The sequence below is a fragment of the Homo sapiens genome, chromosome 4 (assembly GCF_000001405.40).
Source record: "Homo sapiens chromosome 4, GRCh38.p14 Primary Assembly".
In the NCBI taxonomy this organism is placed as follows: domain Eukaryota; kingdom Metazoa; phylum Chordata; class Mammalia; order Primates; family Hominidae; genus Homo; species Homo sapiens.
Genome location: NC_000004.12, coordinates 94,998,052 through 95,023,533, shown reverse-complemented (window position 1 = coordinate 95,023,533; position 25,482 = coordinate 94,998,052). Strand labels below are relative to the sequence as shown.

Here is a 25,482-nt window from a genome sequence, read left to right as displayed (position 1 = left end):
GGCACATGCTTGTGGTCCCAGTTATTTGGGATGCCGAGACAGAAGGCTTTCTTGGGTCTAGGAGTTTCAGGCTGCAGTGACCCATGAACGAGCTACTGCACTCTAGGCTGGATGACAGAGCAAGACTCTGTCTCATAAATGTAAACAAATAAAAATAAAAGAAATGAGTCTTAAAGGTTTGCCATCATTGCTGCTAGATCTGAAATAACTTCAAAGGTCTGATGTAAGAGTTGGAAAGAACATATACATTTAAAACATTTCGCCATACTGGAAGTTTTCTTGGCAGGCATGTGTTGTATGGGAGAAGGCAACGATCTCTGAGGAAAGAGGAGAAAGGTATGGAGAAAAGCTTTGGGTGGATATGTGTTTAAACTGGAAATACGTTGGGTTATATTCATTTTGAGCCTTATAGGCTTTACACTGGAAATGGGAAATATTCTCCCATTAAGGAAAATAAAGGTAGTGGCAATTTCACTGTAAAAAAAAGATGTACTGTATTTCTGGAAATAAAGAAACCATCTGAAGTTTTCCCTCTGTTATAACTTTAGAGTATGGCCCTGCTAACAGGGTGGCTTTCATTTACATCTAACCTGAACACCAAGGCATTATTGGTGATCCACAGCACAGTCTTTCTTACAACAGAACGGGTTGGTCTCTTTTCCTCTGTCAGAAGGAAAATATATTTTATATTAAATCTTTATCATTCCTTTAAATTAGCAGTAGTAGTTACATGGCATATAATATTTTAATACCATTTTATAATGTCTCATTTAAAAACTCAATTCCCATAGTCTTTTTATAAGCTCATATTTCAGAAATCGCATTGATGCCATAGAAATGAACTCTATGGGTACACACACTTCTAAACATAATAAAAATAAAAATATTTTCCTGCCGTAGAACATAACATTAAAGCTCAGAAATAGGCACAGCACATGAAATTTTAAAAGAATATATAAATATAAATAGCAAAGGTCACACCTAGAACATCAATAAAATTTCCTTCCATTTCATATTTTGTTTCAAATATCAAACATCTACCAAAATTCAGAGAAAAAAAGCTGACCATGCCAAATGATTATAAATGATTTCTACTATCATTCAAAAAGAAGCACACACTAACAGAATTTGAAAAATGTTGATTGTTTAGGGTAGTTACTTGAATTATTCAATGTGGTCAGAAAATACATCTGATTTGGAACACTTACCTAGCAACAGTGCACAAAAAGATATTTTCGAACAGCCACTGCTAAAACTTATTTCTAAATGGGGAGTTTTCATATTTTCTTTCCAATAAAACAAAGTGGGCCTTTAAAAACCATATGGTGGTGTAAAAAGAAGTTTCATTCAGCATCTTTTTTTAGACACAGGTTTCCTTATAAAATATACCACAGTCACAAAGCTGAAGGAGCCTTCTTGTTTCTGCGGACAAAGCCTCTCGCCATCTAACGAGTCTTCTGCAGCTCTGCTAGCCACTGCGCCCGTCCTATTTCTTCTCTCCCAAAAAAGAAATTGTAAACAAAATGGTATTGTTTTTTAAACAAGTTATTTTTCATCTATTTAGCAAGCTATTTTGAGGTAACACATATGTAAGAGAAACCTTTCCCACTGCTCACGTAAGTTCCTATTAATTTTGAGCTAAGCTCTTTAGATAGAACGTGCTTTGCCAATACATGAGAATAGACCAGTTCAAAAGAACAAACGTATGTCTGTAACTATTTCCGCCAATCTCCAAGCAGCATTAATAGTGTTCATTTTAAATTTCTGAATACAGCAGTGGGTTCAGAAACATTTTTATGCTCCATATTTCACATATGACTTATAAATATATGCATATTTTGTATGTATAAAATATTACACAACTTAACATTTTGCATAGCATTTCTGCCCTATTACATAAGGAAGCCAATAAGAACTGACTTAGTGAATTTTGGTAGACCAATGGGAAATATCAAAATGCCAAAAAAAGAAAGGAATATCCTAATCAGCATTTATTTAGCTGTATTAACATCATGAAAGAAAAATAATAAGCAGCTAAAGTGTTTAATTTGGTATAATGCTATTGATTTCATAATACATTAACACCAGGTTTAAATTTTATTAAATCAGATGAACCAAAGCCTGAATAATATGCTAGGTTAAAAACCTTCTTTAAAATCTCTAACTTATAGCTACTCCACACCATGTAAATGATGCAAGAATTCATAAACACAAAAGTATGCAATAAGACAATCACTGCATTTGCACTGCATTCTTTCTAGGCCAAGTAAGTACTGTACTTTCTTCCATGTTGAATATAAATATGGTAGGAATTGAAAGAAAAAGCTACAAAGAATTTGTAACTGCTATTTCCCATTATATTTTAGACCTAGGGAAAAAATTAAAAATTAGGAATACGCTATTTGTTACTTAATCCCATACAACTCCATACTTGCATGCCCATATATGACTATTTCTTTCAGCGTATTTTCTTCATAAAGTCTCAAGCATCTTTGCAATCCAGTGATCATAAATAAGATAGCCAGACACGGTGGCTTATGCCTGTAATCTCAGCACTTTGGGAGGCAAGGCAGGAGGATCACTTGAGGCCAGGAGTTTGAGATCAGCCTGGGCAACAAAGCAAGACCTCATCTCTACAAAAATAAAATTAAAAACATTAGATGGTTATGATGGTATGTGCCTGTAATCCTAGCTACTCAGGAGGCTGAGGCAGGAGCATTGCCTGAGCCCAGGCTGCAGTTCAAGGCTGGAGTTGGAGGCTGCAGTGAGTAACGATCGTGCCACTGTACTCTAGCCTAGGCAACAGACAATAACGTGTCTCAAAACTAATAACAAAATAAAAATAAATTGGTGTTTCACCAGTAGACGGCACCATTTACGTAGGGCAAGTTTCTCAATCCCAGCAATATTAACATTAACATTTTGAGCTAGATAACTCTTTTTTTTTTTTTTTTTTGAGATGGAGTCTTGTTCTGTCACCAGTCTGGAGCGCAGTGGCGCAATCTCGGCTCACTGCAACCTCTGCCTCCCGGGTTCAAGCAATTCTCCTGCCTCAGCCTCCTGAGTACTTGGGACTACAGGCATGTACCACCACGCCCAGCTAATTTTTTGTATTTTTAGTAGAGACCGGCTTTCACCATGTTGGCCAGGATAGTCTCGATCTTTTGACCTCGTGATCTGCCCGCCTCGGCCTCCCAAAGTGCTGGGATTACAGGCGTAAGCCACTGCGCCCAGTTGATAATTCTTTTTTGTAGGAGACTGTCCTTGTAGTGTAAGATGTTTAGCAGCATCCTTGACTTCTACTCATTAGATCCTGGTGGCATCCCTACCTAGCAGTAAAAATAAAAAATGTCTCCAGACATTGCCAAATGTCCCCTGGGAGACAAAATTGTCTCTGGGTTGAGAACTGCAGATTTAAGGCAATGGGTTTTCATTTTAATTGCAAATTTAAATTAAGATAAATCAAGATTCTCTGGCAAGGTACAAATATAATCAAACTTTATTATTATATAATAAACTATAAGGTGCATAACACCCAAGCTTGTATAAATTTACACTATTCTCTTCAATAATAATTTTAAATTTTATCAAGGTACCAATATTGGCAGTAACTATTTCTGATTTTCCAAAAATATACCCCAATTAAAATATTTCCTTTCACCACTTGAGGACGATTTATTTTGATTTTGGTCTAACTTAAACAGCTAGGAGTAAGTACAGGAAGTTTTATCTGAAAAATGAACATGGACCAAGTCTTATAAATTGGCCCTAGTGCTATTTCCTATCATAGCTCCTGTTTGTTTACACTGGAGTCCTTATAAATTGAGTGTTATTTCCTTTCCACTAAGTTTCAAGGTATTAACAGCCAAGGAGGTGTTTTTCGACTTCTTCCTCCCTCCCTTTCTCTCACTTTCCACAAATAAATAATGCCTTGCATGGATCACAATTTTAAGACCAGTCCCCAAACTTCAAAACTACTAATACAGTGAACTGATTTTACCTAAACCCACCTTTATATTTAAAAACATAACAGTTTCTCTATAATGGAAAGGAACAAAATATGCATTCTCTAGTAGGTAACTTTACTTTCCAACAATATCATTTATCTAGTCATTTCACAGCTAAACCTTGCAAATTCTTAAGTAAAGCAGTTCCATTTATTTTGACTTCCTGCCTAGCCTCTTCCTTCCAGAGAAAACATTATTCTAATATTTTTATCCATTAAGTACTCTTAAAATTAAATGCCCCTATTTAAACAAAATTTGTTACCCTCACTCCAAAAATGAGGACGCTGGGCACAATTAAGGAGGCAAATGTTTTTCAGTTCTCTGGATAAAGTTATATTTGTCTAGTTTTAAAGAAGCATAGGTTATTTCCATTAGCGACTTCCATTCATGTGAATTACTACAACTACAGTGGTAAAACAAGTGGCTTTGTATGCAATATGAAGCGGTATTCGACAGTTGCAAAACTTCCCTTGACCAGTGAACTTCCAGTGAAAAAAAAACTGTTGAAAGTTCATGCACCCCAATTGCACATTCATTATAATTAAACAAAAAGATTACACAGACATTGCTGACAAGGATTATCAAAATAGATTGGCGCCACCTGCCCCTTGCTATCCCATTAATTAGTATGAAGTCCGAGGTGCCAATTAGCAAGAAGCAGCAGAAAAGGATCAGTAAACACAGCTCAAGCTGAACTTGAAGATTAACTCTTCCAGTTCAGGTTCCATTTCTTAACCACACTAGGTTGATTTGTTTATGCAACCCAAAATTGAATCCTAGGCTGGTTTGTTTGTCAGTTTTGAAAAATAGTAGTTATTTATCATTAGGAAGACATTTCAGTTGTGTGAAATAATAATTCCAAAAATAACTGCACAAAAAGCTCATATAATTCCATAAACAAGTGGACACTCAGTATTTCACAGGGATGCAAAATACTTAAAAATCCAGGTAATCCAGTGACTAAAATGCTTTCACATTATAAATTACAGATCTGTGGTAGTTAATATTAACTCAGGGAAACAACTAGAGTACTGTGTGGTTAAGGGTAACTAACATCCCCCTAGCTACTAAATAGCACTTTATGGGCTAGAGCAATATTAACTTTCTAAAAAGCAAGTAGAGTAAATGGCTTCATTATTTGTTTTCTGGAAATATTATTAATCAGCTTTCAATTTATTCATTCTTAAAACAAACTTTCCAAAAACAATATAGGTATTTCCATACAATTCCCAACTCAATCCAAAACTTCTCTGTTGACAGCAACATTATTCTGGATACCTAAAATTACTTCCTTTAAGAACAGTATTGTAAAATGCAAATTATCAGCAAATTAAAATGTGAATTTTATAAGACTGTTGCATGTACATAAAATGATTAGCATGCATTCTTTAATAATTATTTTATATTTCATCACTAAATATTTCAGTTTAACCTATACATTAAAATTTGCTTTACTTAATGTGAACTGACTTTATTAAAAAGATAGTATTATCGCTTCTCAGCCTTTTGGCTAGGATCAAGCATGAAAAGACAGTATTTTCCTCAAACTTTAGAGAGGAATTTTGCCCACAGAAACCTTCCGAATTTGTTTACCCATTTCACAACAGTATTTTCTTTTTGATGTTGACATAAAAGCATCTTATCTCTCTAGAGTTTCCACAACTATAGAGCAGGTGTTCTCTAACAACACTATCTACAAATCCTGAAGAATAAAATGTAGACTCTTTGCATTAGAAAAAGATATATACCAAGGCCATTTCAAGACCCAAATTTCCCAGTGGCAGTACAGTATACACATTGAAAAATGGGAATAACAATCTCAGAGTTGCTGAGAGAATTAAACCAGATAACAGGCTTAAAGGAAAGTTTTTAGGGCAACACTGAAATACTGATGAAATATTGAAATACTGATGCTAAGTGCCAAGATTCATCTGTCTAGGAAACACCTCAAACATTACCTGTGACTGACAACACTCTTAACATCTAACTTTGTGGCACACTGGGGTGAAGCCCAAGAACTGAATGTTTAAGAAACACACATGGTGATTCTAACACAGGCCCCATATGGCCCACACTAACATTGCTTTTAGATATGAACATGCAGAGGCCACATACATGCAAAAAAGTCCCTCGTGATGCAGTAAGAAGACAGGTGGAGAGAACAGGGTAGTGGCTATGGGATCAAAGTCAGATAACCTTTCCCAAGGCAGCAGTAGTTCAGCACAGAATTCACACAAATACAGGAATTATACACTGGAACCTGGCCTTCCAACTTCAGTTCGTTTGAGAAACTGAAAAGAACAATATTGACAGGAAAGAGAGCTGCTTGCATGGCTTGCTGAAGAGTGAAAAGAAACCTTGCAAATTCCTCACTTGGGCATCTTCTGAGAAATCTGAAGAGTGGGGTTAAGGAAAGAGTACACAGTGGATAAACAGCTGAGTCTTCGTGGGGAGGAAAGACCCCCACTCATAGAAGGAAAAACAAAGTGAATGTTTTCCCTATGGAAAAAGAAACTGAAGGAGCAAATAAAATAACTATAAATCTTTTCTCCCTACTGTTGTCTTGTCTGACCAATGCTGCTGTGTCTCCCTATAATAAATCATAGTCCTTAATGAAAAATGACAATTACACTGAAGTTGCACTACCCACAGTTACTTGGTATAAACTGTTGCTTTATATAGTTACATATATTGTGGGTAAGATGGTATACTTGTCAGGGAAAGGGGACAAATATATTTTTATTTAATTGCATGTTAGCTAAATTTATAACTTTTAAATATCTTGACATATGGTCTGCAGTTCTCCATTTGTACTCTTGCCCTGGACCCCGCAAAAGTCAGGAGTAGATGTGGAAAACACTTCGCAAATACTTTGTTAAAGCCTTCCATCTTTCTCCTTCTCTTGCCATTCTTTTCTCTTATCTCTACAATCTATAAATAATTGCAAAATAATTCAAAATACCTGCAATATTTTAACATCCTTTTTAGATATTATGAATATTCTTCCTTAATACTACTCCCAAATTCAAGAAGTGGTAGTTTCTCAAAAGTTTAGTTGCAACATAGATTTGAATCATACGAATAAAACATCTGTATGATGACATTACAATCTATTCTATTATCTTCTACTTTGAATGAATCTCTCATCCATGCATAATTTTGTAACATCATGTGTTGATCACTGATCATTTGAAAAATATCAGCCCACTGAGTTACGCAGAACTTTCAAATGGTAACACATTTCCTAATGAAGTAACAACAAAAAAAAAATCACACTTGTAATATCTGGACCAATGTCATCAAAAAGGATTTTAAATATTTAGACGCTCTCAAGGTCACTGTGGCAGTTGCAAAGTTTTTCAAAATTGCAGTTTTTACTTGAAAGTTCAAATTGTATCACCATCACAAACACTATCAATTATCTGCCTTGAAGTAATATGTTCACTTCACTCATTTTGACAAAAACATCTACTCAATATCTAAGTCTGAATTGTTAGTTTGTCTGTCTGTCATATTTTCAATTTAAAATGATGTTCCAGCCGGCGCGGTGGCTCACGCCTGTAATCCCAACACTTTGGGAAGCCAAGGCGGGCGGATCATAAGGTCAAGAGATCAAGACCATACTGGCCAACATGGTGAAACCCCGTCTCCACTAAAAATACAAAAATGAGCTGGGCGTGGTGGCATGTGCCTGTAATCCCAGCTATTCGGGAGGCTGAGGCAGGAGAATCACTTGAACCTGGGAGGCAGAGGTTGCAGTGAGCCGAGACCGTGCCACTGCACTCCAGTCTGGTGACAGAGTGAGACTCTGTCTCAAAAAAAAAAAAAATGATGTTCCAGGCTAGGCATGGTGATTCACGCCTGTAATTCCAGCACTTTTGGAAGTCAGAGGTGAAAGGATCACCTGAGGTCAGGAGCTAGAGACCAGCCTGGGCAACACAGTGAGACCCTATCTCTACAAAAAAATTAAAAAATGAGTCTGGTGTGGTGGTGTGCACCTGTAGTCACAGCTACTTGGGAGACTGAGGCAGGAAGATCCCTTGAGACCAGGAGTTGGAGCTATAGTGAGCTATGACAGCACCACTGCAGTCCAGACGGGGCAACAACAATCAAAAAAAGAAGTTCTGTTAAATAAAGGAACTAGTTCTGCAACAACTCCTTGAGTAAAACCATTGTCCTTCAGTATGCAGCAGGACCAAGGGTATTTCTATTTCACTACAAAGAACATTAAAAAGGCATGAGATTTCACACGATTGAAAATTTTTACTACTTTGTCAAGAACATTTTTCAGTTAAATGATCATTTTTCTTTTCTTTCTTTCGTGTGTGTCAGTGAAGATCACCACAGCATACAGCACACCCTGTATGTTTATGGGTGCTGAGGTGGCAGCAATTTTACCTGCCTCTGCTTCTAAACCACAGAAGCAAATGTCAGCACTGAGCAAAAAACATGTCAGTGTTCTTGTGAAAATAGCTTTGAATTCACAAAGGCCCTAAAGGTTCTTAGAGACACCCCCTCCCAAGGGTCCATGGACCACACCTGCAAGCCACTGCTCCGGCTGCCTCTTCCCATGCATCACAGAACCCTCTGGGACGGAGGGACAGCCACACTCCCACTCCACCCCATAGCCCTGCTAGATGACATTCTGTGAAGTACAGAACCATTTCGTTCTTAGCAGAGTGTTTTAAACCACCAGTCACTGGGAAATAACGACATCTCAAAAAGGTCCGAATCTTGAAATCAGGACCTTGGTAGTAAATTAACCCTCATAGTAAAAATCTACAAATCTAATCACTTAATTTCTAAGGATCCACTTTACGTATAAAAGATGATATTAAAGGAAGATTAGGTTCCCTTTTAGAATTCTGATATTATAATGATAAAGTCAGATAAAGGGTCTCTGCATCATCTTACCCTACATAAAATAGAGAATGCAATCATGCCCAAGCCTTATTTCAGAGCCAGGTTAGTGGCCTTTCACTCTGTATAAGCTACAATATAAACCAAAGAAAAATTCTACACAATTAATTAATTTAATATTAGTTGGAGTTTGACATAACAAAATTGAAATTGATTCATCAAATTAAACAGGTCAGGCTTTTTTCATTGTTTCTAAATAATGGTAGTTAAACCCTAGAAAAGATTGCTTTTATTAACTTAATTATTCTTAATGTCTTTGAATCTACAATTCTTCAGTGGATTCTATGAATTATAAGATAGTCTAACTTCTGAGTTTGGATGCTGAGATAATATTTGCTGAATCAACAAATATTTATATTAACGGCAGAATTTAGAATTAGAAAAGATTTTACAGTTGATTTAGTTAACAAGACAGCAAATATGTTTACTACTTATTAGCTGTCTCAACTATTATAGAATCATTTATTCATTCTTTTAACAATTATTTAGGACTTAAACCTGTCAGACAACCACTGTAAGCACCAGATAAACAGTAATAAACAAAACAGACTCCCTGACTAAATGTAAAACTGTATTTTCCCTAATGACACAGACCTAGCCCCAAATCCTTAAAACACTGTATCAAGAAACCACTACTAAGCAAATGTGCCACTTGGATCTAGTTTTAGGGTAATAAACATCTTTATTTTAAGATGACAAAGTGTCTCATGTGATGTTAGATGCTACAGGAAAACCTGAAAGTAAAAGACAGTAGTTTCCACAAAACCACTACAATCTAATTAGGTAAAGTGATACATACATATATACATAAAGCAAACATATAATAAGTAGTATAATAAAATATCAACTTTATAACATAACAAGTGAAACAGACATCTAGACTTCAATGTGGGTTGATGACTTCAAACAATTATATCTTTTCTAATTCATCACTTCTTTACCGTTGCTGTTTTCTTCTATTCCATGTATCAGTAGTGCTATTCCGAAAGTTTACGTTTTCTAATTTTTTAAATCATCTTTAAGGACACTGTTTGCTCCCATATATACAGAAAACAATGACTGTATAAATCCTGAGAAACTGGGCAGTCTTAGAACCTGTTTTCTCATGCCTTTTCCAGAGTACAAATAGCTAGCCTGGGGAGGCATCTCTGCATGGGGTGAGCTGTCTCATATGTAAGGCCTATTCATGTGGGTCCTTTAGTACTGACCTGTACCTGTAAGTCAGCCAAGGAAGCAAATGTCCATGATTTCTCAATGGAAAATCAGATAAAAATAATTTTATCTAAAATAACATCAGTTGAAGAAAATACATCAGGAACTAGCCTTGCAGGGCTCAAACTAAAAAATTAACCATAAAAATAAAATTCTAGAACTTTTACATAATCAAATTAGACAGATATATAGTCATTGTTGGTGGGACTTTTGAAAGTCATATTTACTAAATCTGTGTCTCTACTTTGTACAGCCTCCTAACTAAAGGGCACATAACTTTTTTTTTTATTTGAAAAACTAGTTATTTAATGAGAAAGTTATATAATTTTTAACATAAGACAAAACATTAAAAAAAATAAATTGCCCCTTTAAAAATTTTGCTTTCAACATTTTTTAAAGTATTAAAAAGTTTAGTCTCTCAGGAACTCTCTTAAAAATGATTTCTTCCTTATTTTGGATAGGCACCTATTTGTTTCTATGAGAGCGAGAATTACTAACCCAAACTGTGTTAATTATGAAGAAATTCTTCTCCAAAATTTTGTTTCTTCTTCTCAGTACTATTGTATTTTATCATCTTTGTGTAAATACTTGTAATTCTGCTTGTGTTATAAAAGCCTATTTAAGATATAGTAAATGAAGGACAGATGTTTAAAACATGGGTCCACAATGAAGTTGTAAATGCTGCTAGCACAGTAAATTCTGTGATTAATTTTAGTTTGTTTATGCAATACGTATATTTACACAGCTGGAAAAGCATCAAAAATAACTGTCTCTATGCCAATATTAATTCAAAATCAGTATTAATAAGAAGCAGCATAGGTACATTTACATCAAAGTACACAAAGGTTAAGTACAAATGCTTAAGATTAGAAATGAATCATTCAAATATATCAAGAATCAATTTCTCTTTAATTAATTAATTACAACATATTGAAATAATAATTCACAAACTGTATGCTGCCTCACTTTCTGGTTCTGACTAAAAAACACACCTTCCTTCTGACAGACGTAAGGTTCTAAATATGTGTGTACATCTAGACAGAAACCTGCTTAGTTGATCCCTCAGTTCCTTAATTGTCTAATAGGTATTGAAACCTTTGTATGAAACTCTGCATTTTAACTTAATGTGTTAAGAAAAAAAAGAGCAAAAATTATTTTTAAATGGCTAATGAATTTCAAAGGGGACATCTCAAAATAGGGAATCTGCACATTGTATTTATGATTAAAGAGCAATGTCCATTTTTCCTACTTATCTATAAAATAGTTCCATCAATATCTTAAGTAGAACAAATGAGGCAAGACAGGCTAGTTATCACCTAACATCCATCTTTTCTTTTTCTTTCTTTTTTTTTTTTGTTGTTGTTGTTGTTGTTTTTGACACAGAGTCTTGCTCTGTTGCCCAGGCTGGAGTGCAGTGGTGGGATCTTGGCTCACTGCAACCTCAGCCTCCTGGGTTCAAGAGATTCTCCTTCCCTAGTTTCCCAAGTAGTTCAGAAGACAGGTGTGTGCCACCATGCCCAGCTAATTTTTGTATTTTTAGTAGAGATAGGGTTTCACCATGTTGGCCAGACTGGTCTTGAACTCCCAACCTCAGATGATCCACCCACCTCAGCTTCTCAAAGTACTGGGATTACAGCCGTGAGCCACTGCACCCAACCCCATCTTTTCTTTTTCCTTGGCAACAGATTCCTGGTTTTTCAGAGTAGTAATATAGCCAGCTAAAAGATCATGAGGTAGCCATTGAATTAAAAGCTGGCTAATAAAATGTAACCAGAGGGCGGACATTTTGAATTGCTGCTTAAGGAAGGTACTTGCCTAGGAGGTATATGGATATGTCTGTCACTCACATCCACTTCTTTCCTGCTGCCTAGAAATTAGACATGACAGCTAGAGCGACAGCAGCCACAATGAACCATATGTGTCACCGAAGATGGAAGCCACAGGCTAGGCTGGCGGAGCAGAAAAAGAGAGAGATACTAGGTCCCTGAGCTCTGTGGAACAGTCTCATAATCCCTGATTGCCTACCTCTGGCTACTATTCTTAGCAAACTAACACAGGGACAGAAAACCAAATACTGTATGTTCTCACTTATAAGCGGGAGCTAAATGATAAGAAAGAAACAACAGACAGTGGGGTCTACCTGAGGGTGGAGGGTGGGCGGAGGGAGAGGAGCAGAAAAAATAACTATTGGGGACTGGGCTTAATCTCTGGGGGATGAAATAATCTGTACAACAAACCACCGTGACCCAAGTTTACCTACGTAACCAGCCTTCACATGTACTCCCGAATCTAAAATAACAGTTTAATAAAACACACAAACAAAAAACAAATTTAACAAAATCAGGTACAGATTAAAAAGCAACTGACATAAATTAAAGGTTTTTCACAAAAAAAGAGAGAAATAACTTTTAGTTTTTTCTACAATTATTTACAGTTTCTTTACTTCCATCCAAATGCAATTCCTAAATAATATAAGGCACATATCCAGCATATGAAAAATTAAGCTGATATCCATGGTCCGATGCCTCATGAGAGTGACCCTAACACTTTCTAGTAGGAGAGAGAATCTGTCAACCCATTTTGATCCTTTTGGACACCAAAACTCACCCTGAAACAAATCTTTCTTAGCTATTACTGAACACCTGAGTGGTTTTCTTATCATAAGACATAAAGTAAAGATACAACATTGCTCTGGATTAAGGGGTAACAGATTTCTTGGTTGCCTAGCAAGGATCTTCCAATACCCTGTTTTAAAGAGCTAGTCTAAGGGAAGAACTAACCAATTTTCATACGGCCAAGCAATTTCCAAGGAGCAGAGACTCCCAGCTCCATTTCCTTTGAAATGCAATACTACTGAAATTTCTCTTTTAATGAAGTGGGACAACTAATGAGAGCAAAAGACACTGAACACCAAAAGGAGGGAATGGAGAACCAAAATCAGGCTCTAGATGATGAAGCTGTTAGAGAGATATGGTTCCAAAATAGTGGATAACTGAGGATGGAAGTTTCACTAAACCAGAAGGGTGTCACTTCGGGGTGAGCAAGGACCTATTCCAGCAGTAATGAGAAAACACACATCAATTAACAACCATGCACTGGAATGGATGGAAATAGCTTCCAGGAATGACACAGTGGCAGGTACAGAATAACAGCAATATGAAAGATGTGATTAATTTGGGGGGTCTGAGATTATTGTACTTACACAAGGAAATGTAAAGTACCCATCTTTACCCTGAAACGGGCCCCTCCTATGTCTTCTATTTTTATAAATCATACCAGCATTTAGCCAATTAGCCAGGTCAGACAACATGAGATGTTCTGTTGCTATTCCTTCTCTGTGTCCCCCAAATCTGTTTGGTTTATGCTCTTTTTACATCTTTCAAGTTTCCTTTGTCTTGCAATCCTCTGCCTCTGTCTTAAGTTCATGTTCTCATTTGGTCTCGCTCGGTTGTACTATGCCATCTTTTGGCTAGATTCTCAACTTCAGTTCATCATTCTCCACACGGAAAGAGGAACTCCTCTTCAGTGAAAGATCCTTCTTTACAAATGAGTACACTGAGGCCCAGAGAAGTTAACTAATTTGTTACAGTTCACACAGTTACTAGATGGTGGAGGCAGGCTCAGAACTCCAGATCTCTAAATTCAGAGCCCACCATTTTAGCCACTTACCAAACTATGAAGGGCCCCTCAGATAAACCATTAAAGTAGAAAATAAGGGTATCCTGAAAACTGGTGTTCGAACCTGCCACATACTCCTTAACTGTGTCTTAAATATCATATTTTCTCAATTCCATGAAGCCAACTTCAACTTGCTAAGAGAGGAAGAAGAAACTCTACATCATTTTAATGAGAATCATGTTGTATGTATTTTTTGTGACTTGCTTTTTTCATCCAAAATTGTGTTTTGGGGATTCTGCAGGCTCATGAATGTAGCTGGGGAGCATTCATTTTTATTACTATGTTAATTCCACTGTATAAAATATTTTCCAACTTATCAGATCTGTTCTCTTTTGGGTTGTTTCCAGATTTCTTTCATTTGTTTGTTTCCCTACTATGTATACTACTACTATTAAAAAATTGCATACCTATTTCCTGAGGCATACAAGCAAAAATTTCTATAGGATATATACCTAGGGGTAGAATTGCTGCGGAAAAATATGTTTATGTTCGGTTTCAATTTATCAATACAGCTGTACCAATTTGCATCGCCATTAGCAGTGAATGAGAGTTCGTGTTGCTTCACATCCACACCAAGATTTGTTATTTTCAGACTTTTATATTTTTACCAACATGGTAGGTATGAAATGAAATGATACATCACTCTTTTTTTTTCTAAGAGAGACAGAGAGTCTCATTCTGTCAATTAGGCTACAGTGCAGTGGAGTGATCACAGTTCACTGCAATCATCAACTCCGGGGCTCAAGGGATCCTTCTGTCTCAGCCTTCCAAAGCACTGGGATTATAAGCATGAGACACTGTGCCCAACCCTCATCACTCTAGTTTTAATTTTGTTCTTTAATTATTAATGAGGTTCAGCATGTTTCATATGTTTATTGACTATTTGGATTTTCTCTTTTTGAAATTCCTATTTTTATATTTACCAAATTTACTTTTCTTACTGATTCATGGTATCTTTAATAAATTCTATATACTAAACCAATTTTGGGTCTTTCTTATTCTTTTTTAGTGTCCTTTGATGAACACAGTTTTGATTTTTCATTTTAATGTTGCTGAATTAATTAATTTGTTTCTTTATTATTTGCTCTATTTCTGGTCTTGGTAAAGAAATTCTTAGCTGATAATAAAAATATTTATTTTCTAAATATTTTAAAGTATTGGCTGTCATAGTTAAGTCCTTCATCTATACAGAATTTGCTTCTGCTTACGGAATGAGGTGAGTAGTAACAATCTGCACTTTCCATGTGGATAACCCCCTGTAGTAGTGGCAGCTTGGACTCAAGGCTTACTGGAACCTCAACAAGAATAAGTGTTAGATTGCTTGATGATATCTGCCATGGATGGAAGCATAAAACTGAAGTTACTGCATAGCATTACAGATGGAGAGAGAAGGAAAGTAGAGTGGTTAAGGGAAAAGAAAATCGAGGTGACAAATTCACTCCACTCACATTTTTATGACTTTTTACATAGTTTATATAACTCTACATAGTCACGCTGTCATCACTTTTCCCCGTACAGTATGAGACAGATATTCAATAGTTTACTTAAGCTGGCCTGTATTCCTTATAAACTCTTTACTGACATACCAACACAGCTTATTAAAATAGTCAGGAAAATATTACTGCCACCCTATATACTGATTAATAATTTTTATGTGATAATTCAGTGGCTCTCAAACTAAACTCCCACATAGTTGCACAAGCTCAATACAGGTGTTCTGCCACTATAATCATATTAAATTCTTTTCTCAGTTTTCAAAAACAACTAAATTAAATTTATAAAATTTTCTTAATATTAAATAACACTCTCATAACTTTTTTCTTAAATGACTTGTACCTACCACTGATTATTTCTATAGACTTTGGTATGGGTTAACACATTAGGTATTTATTTCTTTATATTTTCATATATTGCAATTAAGATAACCAAGCTTTAGAACTATTCTGGCAAGGCCAAAACACTTAGCTTTTCACTCTGGGATCTGCACCCACCCTTAACTTCATCTTGATTTTTCTGTGTATAAAATGCATATTCTTGTTTCAAAGCATTTGAAGGAGCAAGGTGAAAAGAAGCAATAGGTCTTAAAATCCTTTTAAAATGCAAAACATTTTACAACAGGAGTTATAATTTATAAGAACCTTAAATTATATCTTACAAATAATGGGGCTAGAACAGTCATGAAAAAGTCAACAGATAATTTCTAAAGGTTATTTTTTCCATAGCTTTTATTTCTCCTATGCCAAATCTTGAAAAAAGGTTCTTCTAACTAGATTAAAAATAGAATTTGTTTTGAATATTATTTTCTGTCTCATATAATTCCTAACAGAGTTCCTGAAAAGCAGAGCAAGGCAAAGGTAAAAAGCTAACAGAATAACTATATACAAATAACTTAAAACATCTATTTTTATAATGATGTGTTCTAAAAATTCATGCCATCATAGTGTGATATTACTAATGAAAAAGTCTATTAGAGGTTAACTGAAATTAGAAAGCTTGAAAATCTGACCTGCCTCAAAAAACATTCCAGAGTATAGCATGGATTTATTTGGAAGAACATGTTTTCATAAGTATTGTTGCTGTTGTTGTATAAAGAAACCCTGGTAGAGTTACAAAAGTGAGAAAAATATAAAATAACATGAGAATAATATATTAAAATTAATTAATGTATTAATGTTCGTAAATATCAACAGACTCTTGTCTTCCTTGTAGGAATAGAGTTGCTGCTCTCTGATTTGGACACCTGGTAAATGTGAAAGCCTTATGAATTGCTGCACTACTTCTCAAACTTTTAGACATGTATAGGAGTAGGAAAGTAAAATTACTTATTTTAAAAGAGAGTCATATATTATACTGTAAAGTTTTAAGAATCAGAAGGTAGGGCTGGGCGTGGTGGCTCATGCCTGTAATGCTAGCACTTTGGGAGGCCGAGGCGGGTGGATCACGAAGTCAGGAGTATGAGACCAGCCTGGCCAACATGGTGAAACCCAATCTCTACTAAAGATACAAAAAATTAGCCAGGTGTGGTGGTGCGCCTGTAATCCCAGCTACTGGGGAGGCTGAGGCAGGAGAATCTCTTGAACCTGGAAGACAGAGGTTGCAGTGAGCCAAGATCGCACCATTGCACTCCAGCCTGGGGGACAGGGCAAGACTCCATCTCAAAAAAAAAAAAAAAAATCAGAAGGTATTTGATTTCTTATCTCCCTTTCTTTCCAACCTACATAATCGTAAGTATTGTCATTTAACCTTCCTGAACTTCCATTTCCTTACCTTTAAAATAGGGATAATAATAGCCATCACATAGAATTATTATAAGGATTAAATAAAACTTTTTTTTTTTTTTGAGATGGAGTCTCGCCCTGTTGCCCAGGCTGGTCTCGTACTCCTGATCTCATGATCCACCCGCCTCAGCCTCCCAAAATGCTAGGATTACAGGTGTGAGCCATCGCGCCCGGCCCTACCTTCTGACTATTAAAACTTTGGTGCAATGGTGCAATCTCAGCTCACTGCAACCTCCTCCTCCTGGGTTCAAAGGATACTCCCGCCTCAGCCTCCCCAGTAGCTGGGATTACAGGCGCCTACCACCACGCCCAGATAGTTTTTGTATTTTTAGTAGAGACGAGGTTTCACCATGTTGGCCAGGCTGGTCTCGAACTCCTGACTTCGTGATCCGCCTGCCTCAGCCTCCCAAAGTGCTGAGATTAGAGGCTTGAGCCACTGTGCCCAGCGGAAACTATTATCATATATACAAATATCCGTGACATGTTGACGTTACCATTAATTATAAAATGAGAGGGTAAATGACTTTAGGGAAATTGTGAAAGATGCTAATTGCAGTTTTACATTTTATAACACATGTTTTTCTTGCTTCCAGGCATTTACTGTTTCTGTTACAACTGGAAAGATTTTCTTCAAAATGCACACACACAAAAAGAGTTTTCTAACATAATTGGGCAATAGACAGAAGACAGAAGATAAGGAAAAGTTGAAATTTAAAAAAAAAATCAGTTAACAACTTGGTATAACAGAAACTTGCTGAGATGCAACTGACATTTATGAACAAGATAAAAAAGTGAAAGAAAAACTAGGAAAGAAAGGAAGGAGCCGGGAAGAAGACGGATCAAGAAAGGAAGAGTGTAACCAGGAAGGGAAGTGGGAGGGGAGGAGGGAAACACAGAGGGGAGTGATAACATGTATGGCTCCTGGCTGGGTGGGTGGGCTGTCTGAAAGATCATAGTACGTCAGCCTGTTTGTTGAACTGCCCTAAATGTAAGAAATGAGTGGCCTTACAGGACGCCAATGTACAATTGGCCATCTGTGTGTTCTACATGCCTTATGGTATTTCTAAACCAGTATTTGATCTCAGGTATGCTCTAATACCATCAATTAATACCACTGGCAATACACAGCTAATAAACAGAAACTTATGTGTCACAAAAAATATTTTATTAAAATATAACCAAAATTTTAAAATTGATTCTCTACCTCTACAATTTATAGTACTAGTTTGGACTATTAACAATGAAATCATGTTAGCACAAATATCACATTTCCTTTTAACTAGAAGGAACATACACTATGGGAACAGCTTCAAACTGACCACAAAACCAGCTCCCCAAGTTAAGAACACATGGTTTCAGGAGACATATTTTAAACTCACATTGTGCTTTGCAAGCTGTACCAATCAACTTTATATTGCAATGGCTAAAGAAAAAAAAGCATTCTAAATTGTCTGTTTCTACCAATAATAATTTAAAATAATTACATGTGAGGTATTAATGAATAACTCAGAAGACTATATGCATTGTATCTTGGCTTATTTAAAACAAATAAACAACAACAAAAAAACTCTACACATTCAAAGAACTGCGAATTATTTCAGTAGAACGTTGTGTCCTAGGTCACCATGCTTTCTTTCTCTATTATTGTCAAGATCAATTTGCCAAAAAGCCTCTTACAATAAACACAGATATAAATTTCAAGGTTAGTAAGCTAAACTACTACTGGGAATAATGATACATTAATTTACTGATGAAGTTAAAATTGGTATAGAGAGAAGTAGAAAGACAGAGCTCTTAAGAAAAATGTATTTTACATGGAGAAAAAGCAAATATTCACCTGAGGAATATATAAAACCATAACTGAATTATGTTTCAACCATATAATGTGCAGTAATAATCACCTTTACACTAAAGCAGGAAAATAAATATGACTGGAAAATGAGGAATATAAATAAACTATTTAAGACTTTTAAGACAATACAAATACTGATGCATAATATTACAAATAATAGAAGAACAACCTGCTTATCAACTATAAGGTGTAATTTAATTTTAAATGTTCTAGGGCAGGGCTATAAAACAAAATGAAGTACAGCAGAATTGTTACCAAAGACATACCAATGTATCAACAAAGGGCAGAGTGATTCAAGGAGGAAAAAGTCCTATATTATACTGAAGCAAAATTGTTTGCCTTGAGTTAAAGAGGAAAACAGAACAAAATATTTCATGGTGGGCAAATGCATAACAAAAATTAAAATTTCAAATGATGTCTTTTTATAAACTTTCACATGTGAACTCCCCCACACGTACACAAACACAAACTATGTTTATGAAGTGTATCTCTTCAGAGCAGATTAAACTACCCTCTTAAATCATTCCAGGTAACCAATTAGTATATAAATATTGAGTTTGAGATCAGCCTGGCCAACATAGTGAAACCCTATCTCTACTAAAAATACAAAAATCAGCTGGGCATGGTGGCACACACCTGTAGTCCCAGCTACTCATGAGGCTGAAGCAGAAGAATCGCTTGAACTTGGGAGAAGGAGGTTGTATTGAGCTGAGATTGTGCCACTGCACTCCAGCCTGGGCGACAGAGCAAGACTCCATCTCAAAAAAAAAAAAAAAAAAAAAAAAGATGGACTTTGGTCATATCCAAGTTTAAATCATGACCTTATCACTGATTAGCTATGTGAGGTTATCATGTTACTTTACATTTTGGGGTCTCAGTTTCTTTATCATGAAAAGAGGAAATAGAAATAAGTCATCCAATGGTCTATTAGAAGGATTAATAAAATATACATATACATATATACACACATACAGGCACCCCTTGTAAATGGAGGTGGTTATTCATGCATCATTTCTCAATCACACAGATTATATTATTTGGTCTGGCTTAACATAAGTAACATACACAGCCTCTTGTCTACAGTAATTTCTAGAATCACGCCAAGTTAAATCCAACACCACCACCCTAACATGTTCCAATGCTTAAATCTCATTAAACAAGAAACATCAACTTTATTCCACAGAGATAAAAATGTTAATGCAAAACAACCTGAAAGGTAACCTAAAGATTTAAATTTGTGGCACAAGAATACAAGATAAAAATGAGTTCACAAAAAAAGTGAGAAAGGGGGAGAACGATTCAGTAAAAGTGCTGAAGTATTGGTCAGAAAAATCCTTGTGGACTATAGTATTAACAGTTAAATTAAGACATAAAAATACAGAAAAATATTTTTTCCCATTTCTAGGTTTTAAAAAGACTTTCTAAGTTTCAAAAGATATTGAGAAAATATTGGTTAGCTTTAATAAAAATATTTCAAAACATACTTATGTTTCAAAACACATAAAACAAAATTAAAAAGTAACCAAAATCTTAGGAAAGCAGTTGCAACTAATAGATATTTAAAAAATCAAGATCCTTTAATTTTTTTTTAAATAAAGGAACATTCTAAACCAGAAAAGAGAATAGAGCTGCTGGAAAAAAAAGAATAAGTATATAAATAAATTATAAATAACAGAAAAGGTAATAACTCAAATTCACTAGTAATTAAAAATAAGTAAATTAAATATCACTTTCCTCTATCATATTAGCAAAGATGTAAAAATTATACATTTCTTTGCAGGCAAGACATTTAAAAAGTGGGTAATACTTATTTAAAGTGAAAGGTATTAATCCAATCGAAAATTATCACAAAGGGATAACCAGGCTTTTTTATTGATGGAGAACCATGAAGATCACTTTGATTCTGATATGAGGGAGGAGGAAACAGGAAGGTACAGAAATCACAGGCTGAGGCTGCTATATGTTCAAAAATTCTTTCATTGCTTATACACTGTTAGTAGGAATGTAAATTAGTTCAGCTACTGTGGAAGCAGTTTGGAGATTTCTCAAAGAATGTAAAACAGAACTACCATTCGACCCAGTGAATCCCATTGCTGGGCATAGATCTAAAAGAAATAGCTCTAACCCAAAAGACACATGCACTCATATGTTCATCACAGCACTATTCACAATAGCAAAGACATGGGGTCGACCTAGGTGACAATCAACAGTGGATGGATAAAGAAAATGTGGTACATATGCACCATGGTACTACACTGCCATAAAAAAGAATGAAATCATCGTTTGCAGCAACTTAGATGCAGCTGGAAGCCATTATCCTAAGTGAATTAATATAGGAACACAAAACCAAATACTGTGTATTCTCACTTATTAAGTAGCAGCTAAACATTGGCAACTCATGGACATCCAGATGGCAACAACAGAAACTGGAGACTACCAGAGGTGGAGGGAGGGAAGGTAGGAAGAGAGAAAAACTACCTAGTGGGTAGTATGCTCACTACTTGGATGATGGGATCATTTGTATTCCAAACCTCAGCATCATGCAATATACCTATGTAACAAACCTGTACCTGTACTCACTGAATTTAAAAGAGAAGTTGAAATTATAAAACAACAACAACAATAAAAACCTCTTTCATCTAAGTATACAAGCAAATTTTACCAGAGACCTTAATATTAATAAGAATGGATGGAGCCAAAGAGCCCCAACTTCTTTGGGAGTGGTGGGAATAGAAATAGAGAAGCAAAAACTTACTAGAATATAACAGGTACAAAACAAACTTGTTTTGCCCCCCTCTACGTCTTCGATTATTTAAATTTTTAAAAGAATCCCAGATGAAAGCAAATATAACATGGAAAAGCCAATTGGATTCTTTCATTTTTGTTTTAAACAATGTTTTTCTAGGTGTAAATTAGAACAAATAATCATCTTTAAACAAAATTATAAAACAAAATGTAGCCATATATATCCTACTGAAATACAGATATTCTATATTCTAATCTTAGACATAATCTAAGCATGAAACTTGTTTTTTAGCTTCTATCTTTTGCTCCAGGACTATGTGCCATGTTCTATTGAATGAATGTTTGTGTGGCAGAATGTGATTGTACCATGAGACAGAATAGGGCAATTCAGGAGAGCCAGAAAGGGTATCTGTCATTAGAAACAAAAATTACTTGAAGTGGGAGAGTACTCCATCTCACTTGATGGTATTAAGAAATACCATCTTAATTCTTCCAGGAATTAAGAAATAATGCAAAGGAGTCTAATACAAGACAAGACACAGAGACACAAAAAATTAAATGTAGTATGAAGAACAAAAACAGAGCAATTACACTCAGACAAGAAAAGCTGCATTAATAAAATACTGGCCTTATGTAAATGATGAGTTAATGGGTGCAGCACACCAACATAGCACATGTATACATATGTAACAAACCTGCAGATTGTGCACATGTACCCTAGAGCTTAAAGTATAAAAAAAAATACTGGCCTTATAATTACCTAATACTAATTTTTATCCAAATCTTAACTAGCTACTTGAAAAGCTGATGTTTGGCGGGTTATGTTACCTATGGATGCCACAACTGCCCATTGATAAAATGGAAGTACTGAAGAAAAGCTTTCAAGTCCCACTTCCATAATTAATTTACTCTTCTCCTCTCAGGCTCTATGAATTATATGCCCTTCACTGTTACAGAAAAATTTTGGTTGGCAAAAAACTTCTAACAATAATAAAATAAGACTTGATTGTTCTGGTAAAATCCTTTATGCCTCATTCCAACCACAAAGTTCTTTGAGCTTTTCTTGGTGCTGCTGGTAGTGTTTTTGCTTATGTTTGTTGTTGTTATAATCTTTCCATACTAAGGCAAGCTTGGGTTTCCCTCCTCACTGGCTAACAGGAACTTGGTATATTTCTACGTCCATACCAAAGAAACTTCCACCATCCCAATCATATAATATTTATATTATTTGATACGCCACTGAGATCTATAAAATCCATACCTAAAACTCTTTGCTAAGGCACTTTCTCCACTTCTTTCTTTCTCTCTTTCTCTCTCTCTCTTTCTTTCTTTCTTTCGATATGGAGTCTTGCTCTGTCGCCAGGCTGGAGTGCAGTGGGGTGATCTTGGCTCACTGCAAACTCCGCCTCCTGGATTCAAGCAATTCTCCTGCTCAGCCTCCCCACTCCACATATTTTTTAACACAGGATAGTTATATGGGCAAACTATATCTGAAAAAAAGTTCCAAATTGAATTACAGTCCATTCCAAGCAATTAAGATTACCAAATTTTCCTATGAAAATACCAATCTTGTTTTCATTCCTAAGACAGAGATACAATTCAAGGTTAAACAAACAGAAGAGTCATATTCAATGTCTGGAAGATGTTTATAAGGTTTAAATAGTAGTGGAAACTGCTGGTAGAGCACACTAAAGTAAAAATAATTAAATTAAGAAAACTATAAGTCACTCCAAATTGTTCATGAAGCTTTACACTTGTTCCTGATATATACAATATTTCATATATAATGTAAGTACTTTTATGTATGATGGGCAAATAAAATACAATTAAAGGCAAAATAAATTTTATTTTTATTGAATATCAGAGCTAAAAGAAACAGCTGCTATTTCACAACTACTTTTTTTAAACGTCAACTTCCTTCTCTTTCAACATTTCTATTTTGAGGAGCAACTTCTTCTTCTGCCTGAAATGGAATATCACCTTTCAGGTTTGAGAATTTTCAGACCATGATTTTCTATTATTTCCTTAAAACCCGAACTATCTCTGCCCCAGTAAATGAAATTTGAAGGTTTACTAGTAATACTGGGAGCAATTTCATTCTGCAATTCTCCCGGCTACATGAGGATGGACCTATTCTCTCCTGAAGCTCTCTCTGGGCCTTTTGGAAGGCATGACACTGTCTTTAGTTTGCTAGGGCATCACTTAATTTACCACAGCAGTCAACACGGCCACAGCAACTAGCTGGTTTTTTTGACAGACTTCACCAAATTAATTACATAAACAGCATTTTTGGAATATGTATCCTGAATTTTTATTTGCTAACCAATATCATTTTGACTCTTGTTACCCAAATAAACTTATGAGTTCAGCAAATATCTATTTTCATGGTTACACACACACACACACACACACACGCACAACACTGATTGGTCCTAGAAAAAGAAACAAAATAATTTTTTAATTATTATTACCAATATGTACCATCTACTTGAGAGGCTTTCCTTCAATCTAATGAATCAAAATTGTAAAATATTTTAAAGTGAAAGGGGTATAAAGAAAATTATGTTTAAAATAAGTATGATAAAGTTTTTGTTTACTTCAAATTCTGGGACACTTGTTATATGCTAGGTCTTGGGGAAGCATAAAAGAATTAAATTTAAAAATCTGGCCATAAATAGATTACAGTCTCAGGCAGAAACAAAAACATAAAACACTATATTACCAAGCTTTGCAAAGTACTGGGACAGAGATTTATACAGGAGGCCAAGTCACAGAGTCTGAGATTAGACCAGCAGGACTTTCTCCATTCAGGCTAGAAGGCAAAGATTGGGAAAAGGGTTTTCAAGATAGAACAGCATAAATGATACAAGAAAAAAGCAATGCAATGTGGATTGTTTTGAGAAATAGGAGATGTTGAATACTGCCAGCAAATAAAATGGAGAGAAAGGGGAATATTCTCATGGATGGGCAAGAGAGATACAGACAACAGCCCAAAAGGAACGGCAGAAGATTAATATAGAACAAAAGTAGAAGGTATATGAACAAGAGACTCATAGTAAAGCCTGGTCTTTATCTATAAGCAGTAGAAAGACAGGGATGGGAGGGTTTTAGATTAAAAGCAATGGGTTCATCAGGGTGGAAGATTGACCCTTCTAAAAGTAATGCAGCAGGCTGGGCGTGGTGGCTCACACCTGTAATCCCAGCACTTTGGGAGGCCGAGACAGGCAGATCACCTGAGCTCAGGAGTTTGAGACCAGCCTGACTAACATGGAGAAACCCTATATTTACTAAAAATACAAAATTAGCTGGGAATGGTGGCGCATGTCTGTAATTCCAGCTACTCGGGAGGCTAAGGCAGGAGAATCGCTTGAACCCAGGAGACGGAGGTTGCAGTGAGCTAAGATCGCGCCATTGCACTCCAGCCTGGGCAACAAGATTGAAATTCCATCTCAAAAAAAAAAAAAAAGGAGTAGTGTAGCAGCTGGACTACTAGTAGAACAAATATGACTCTAGGGCAGTGAGATCCATGAGGAGGCTAATATTAATATTTCAAGCTAAATTCATTCACATTGCTTCAATAGATACTTAACACATAATACAAAAGGTGCCATTTTCATTTTGTATAATATACCTGCATATAAAATATTATTTATAAATATGATAACCAATGTCAGGATGGACTACAGAGCCAAAAATAATACTGACAAGGCATTTCAAGTTTTAAAACACTCAACCAGTCTTCAAACAAAATACATCCTAATGTAGACATTATCAACCAGTGTCACAATTT

At 35.6% G+C, this 25,482-nt stretch overlaps 1 protein-coding gene across 9 annotated transcripts in view; it reads right to left on the bottom strand.

Annotated features, from left to right (window-relative positions):
• The window catches only part of BMPR1B (bone morphogenetic protein receptor type 1B), a 400,496-nt gene that overhangs the window by 134,917 nt on the left and 240,097 nt on the right, over window positions 1-25,482 (bottom strand). The window contains exon 4 of one of the 9 annotated variants that reach the window (XM_047416091.1): window positions 22,954-23,182. The exons of the other annotated variants lie outside the window; for them this stretch is intronic. The gene's annotated coding sequence lies outside the window, so the exon portion shown is untranslated. The remainder of the gene's footprint in view (window positions 1-22,953; window positions 23,183-25,482) is intronic. 9 annotated transcript variants of the gene reach the window in all.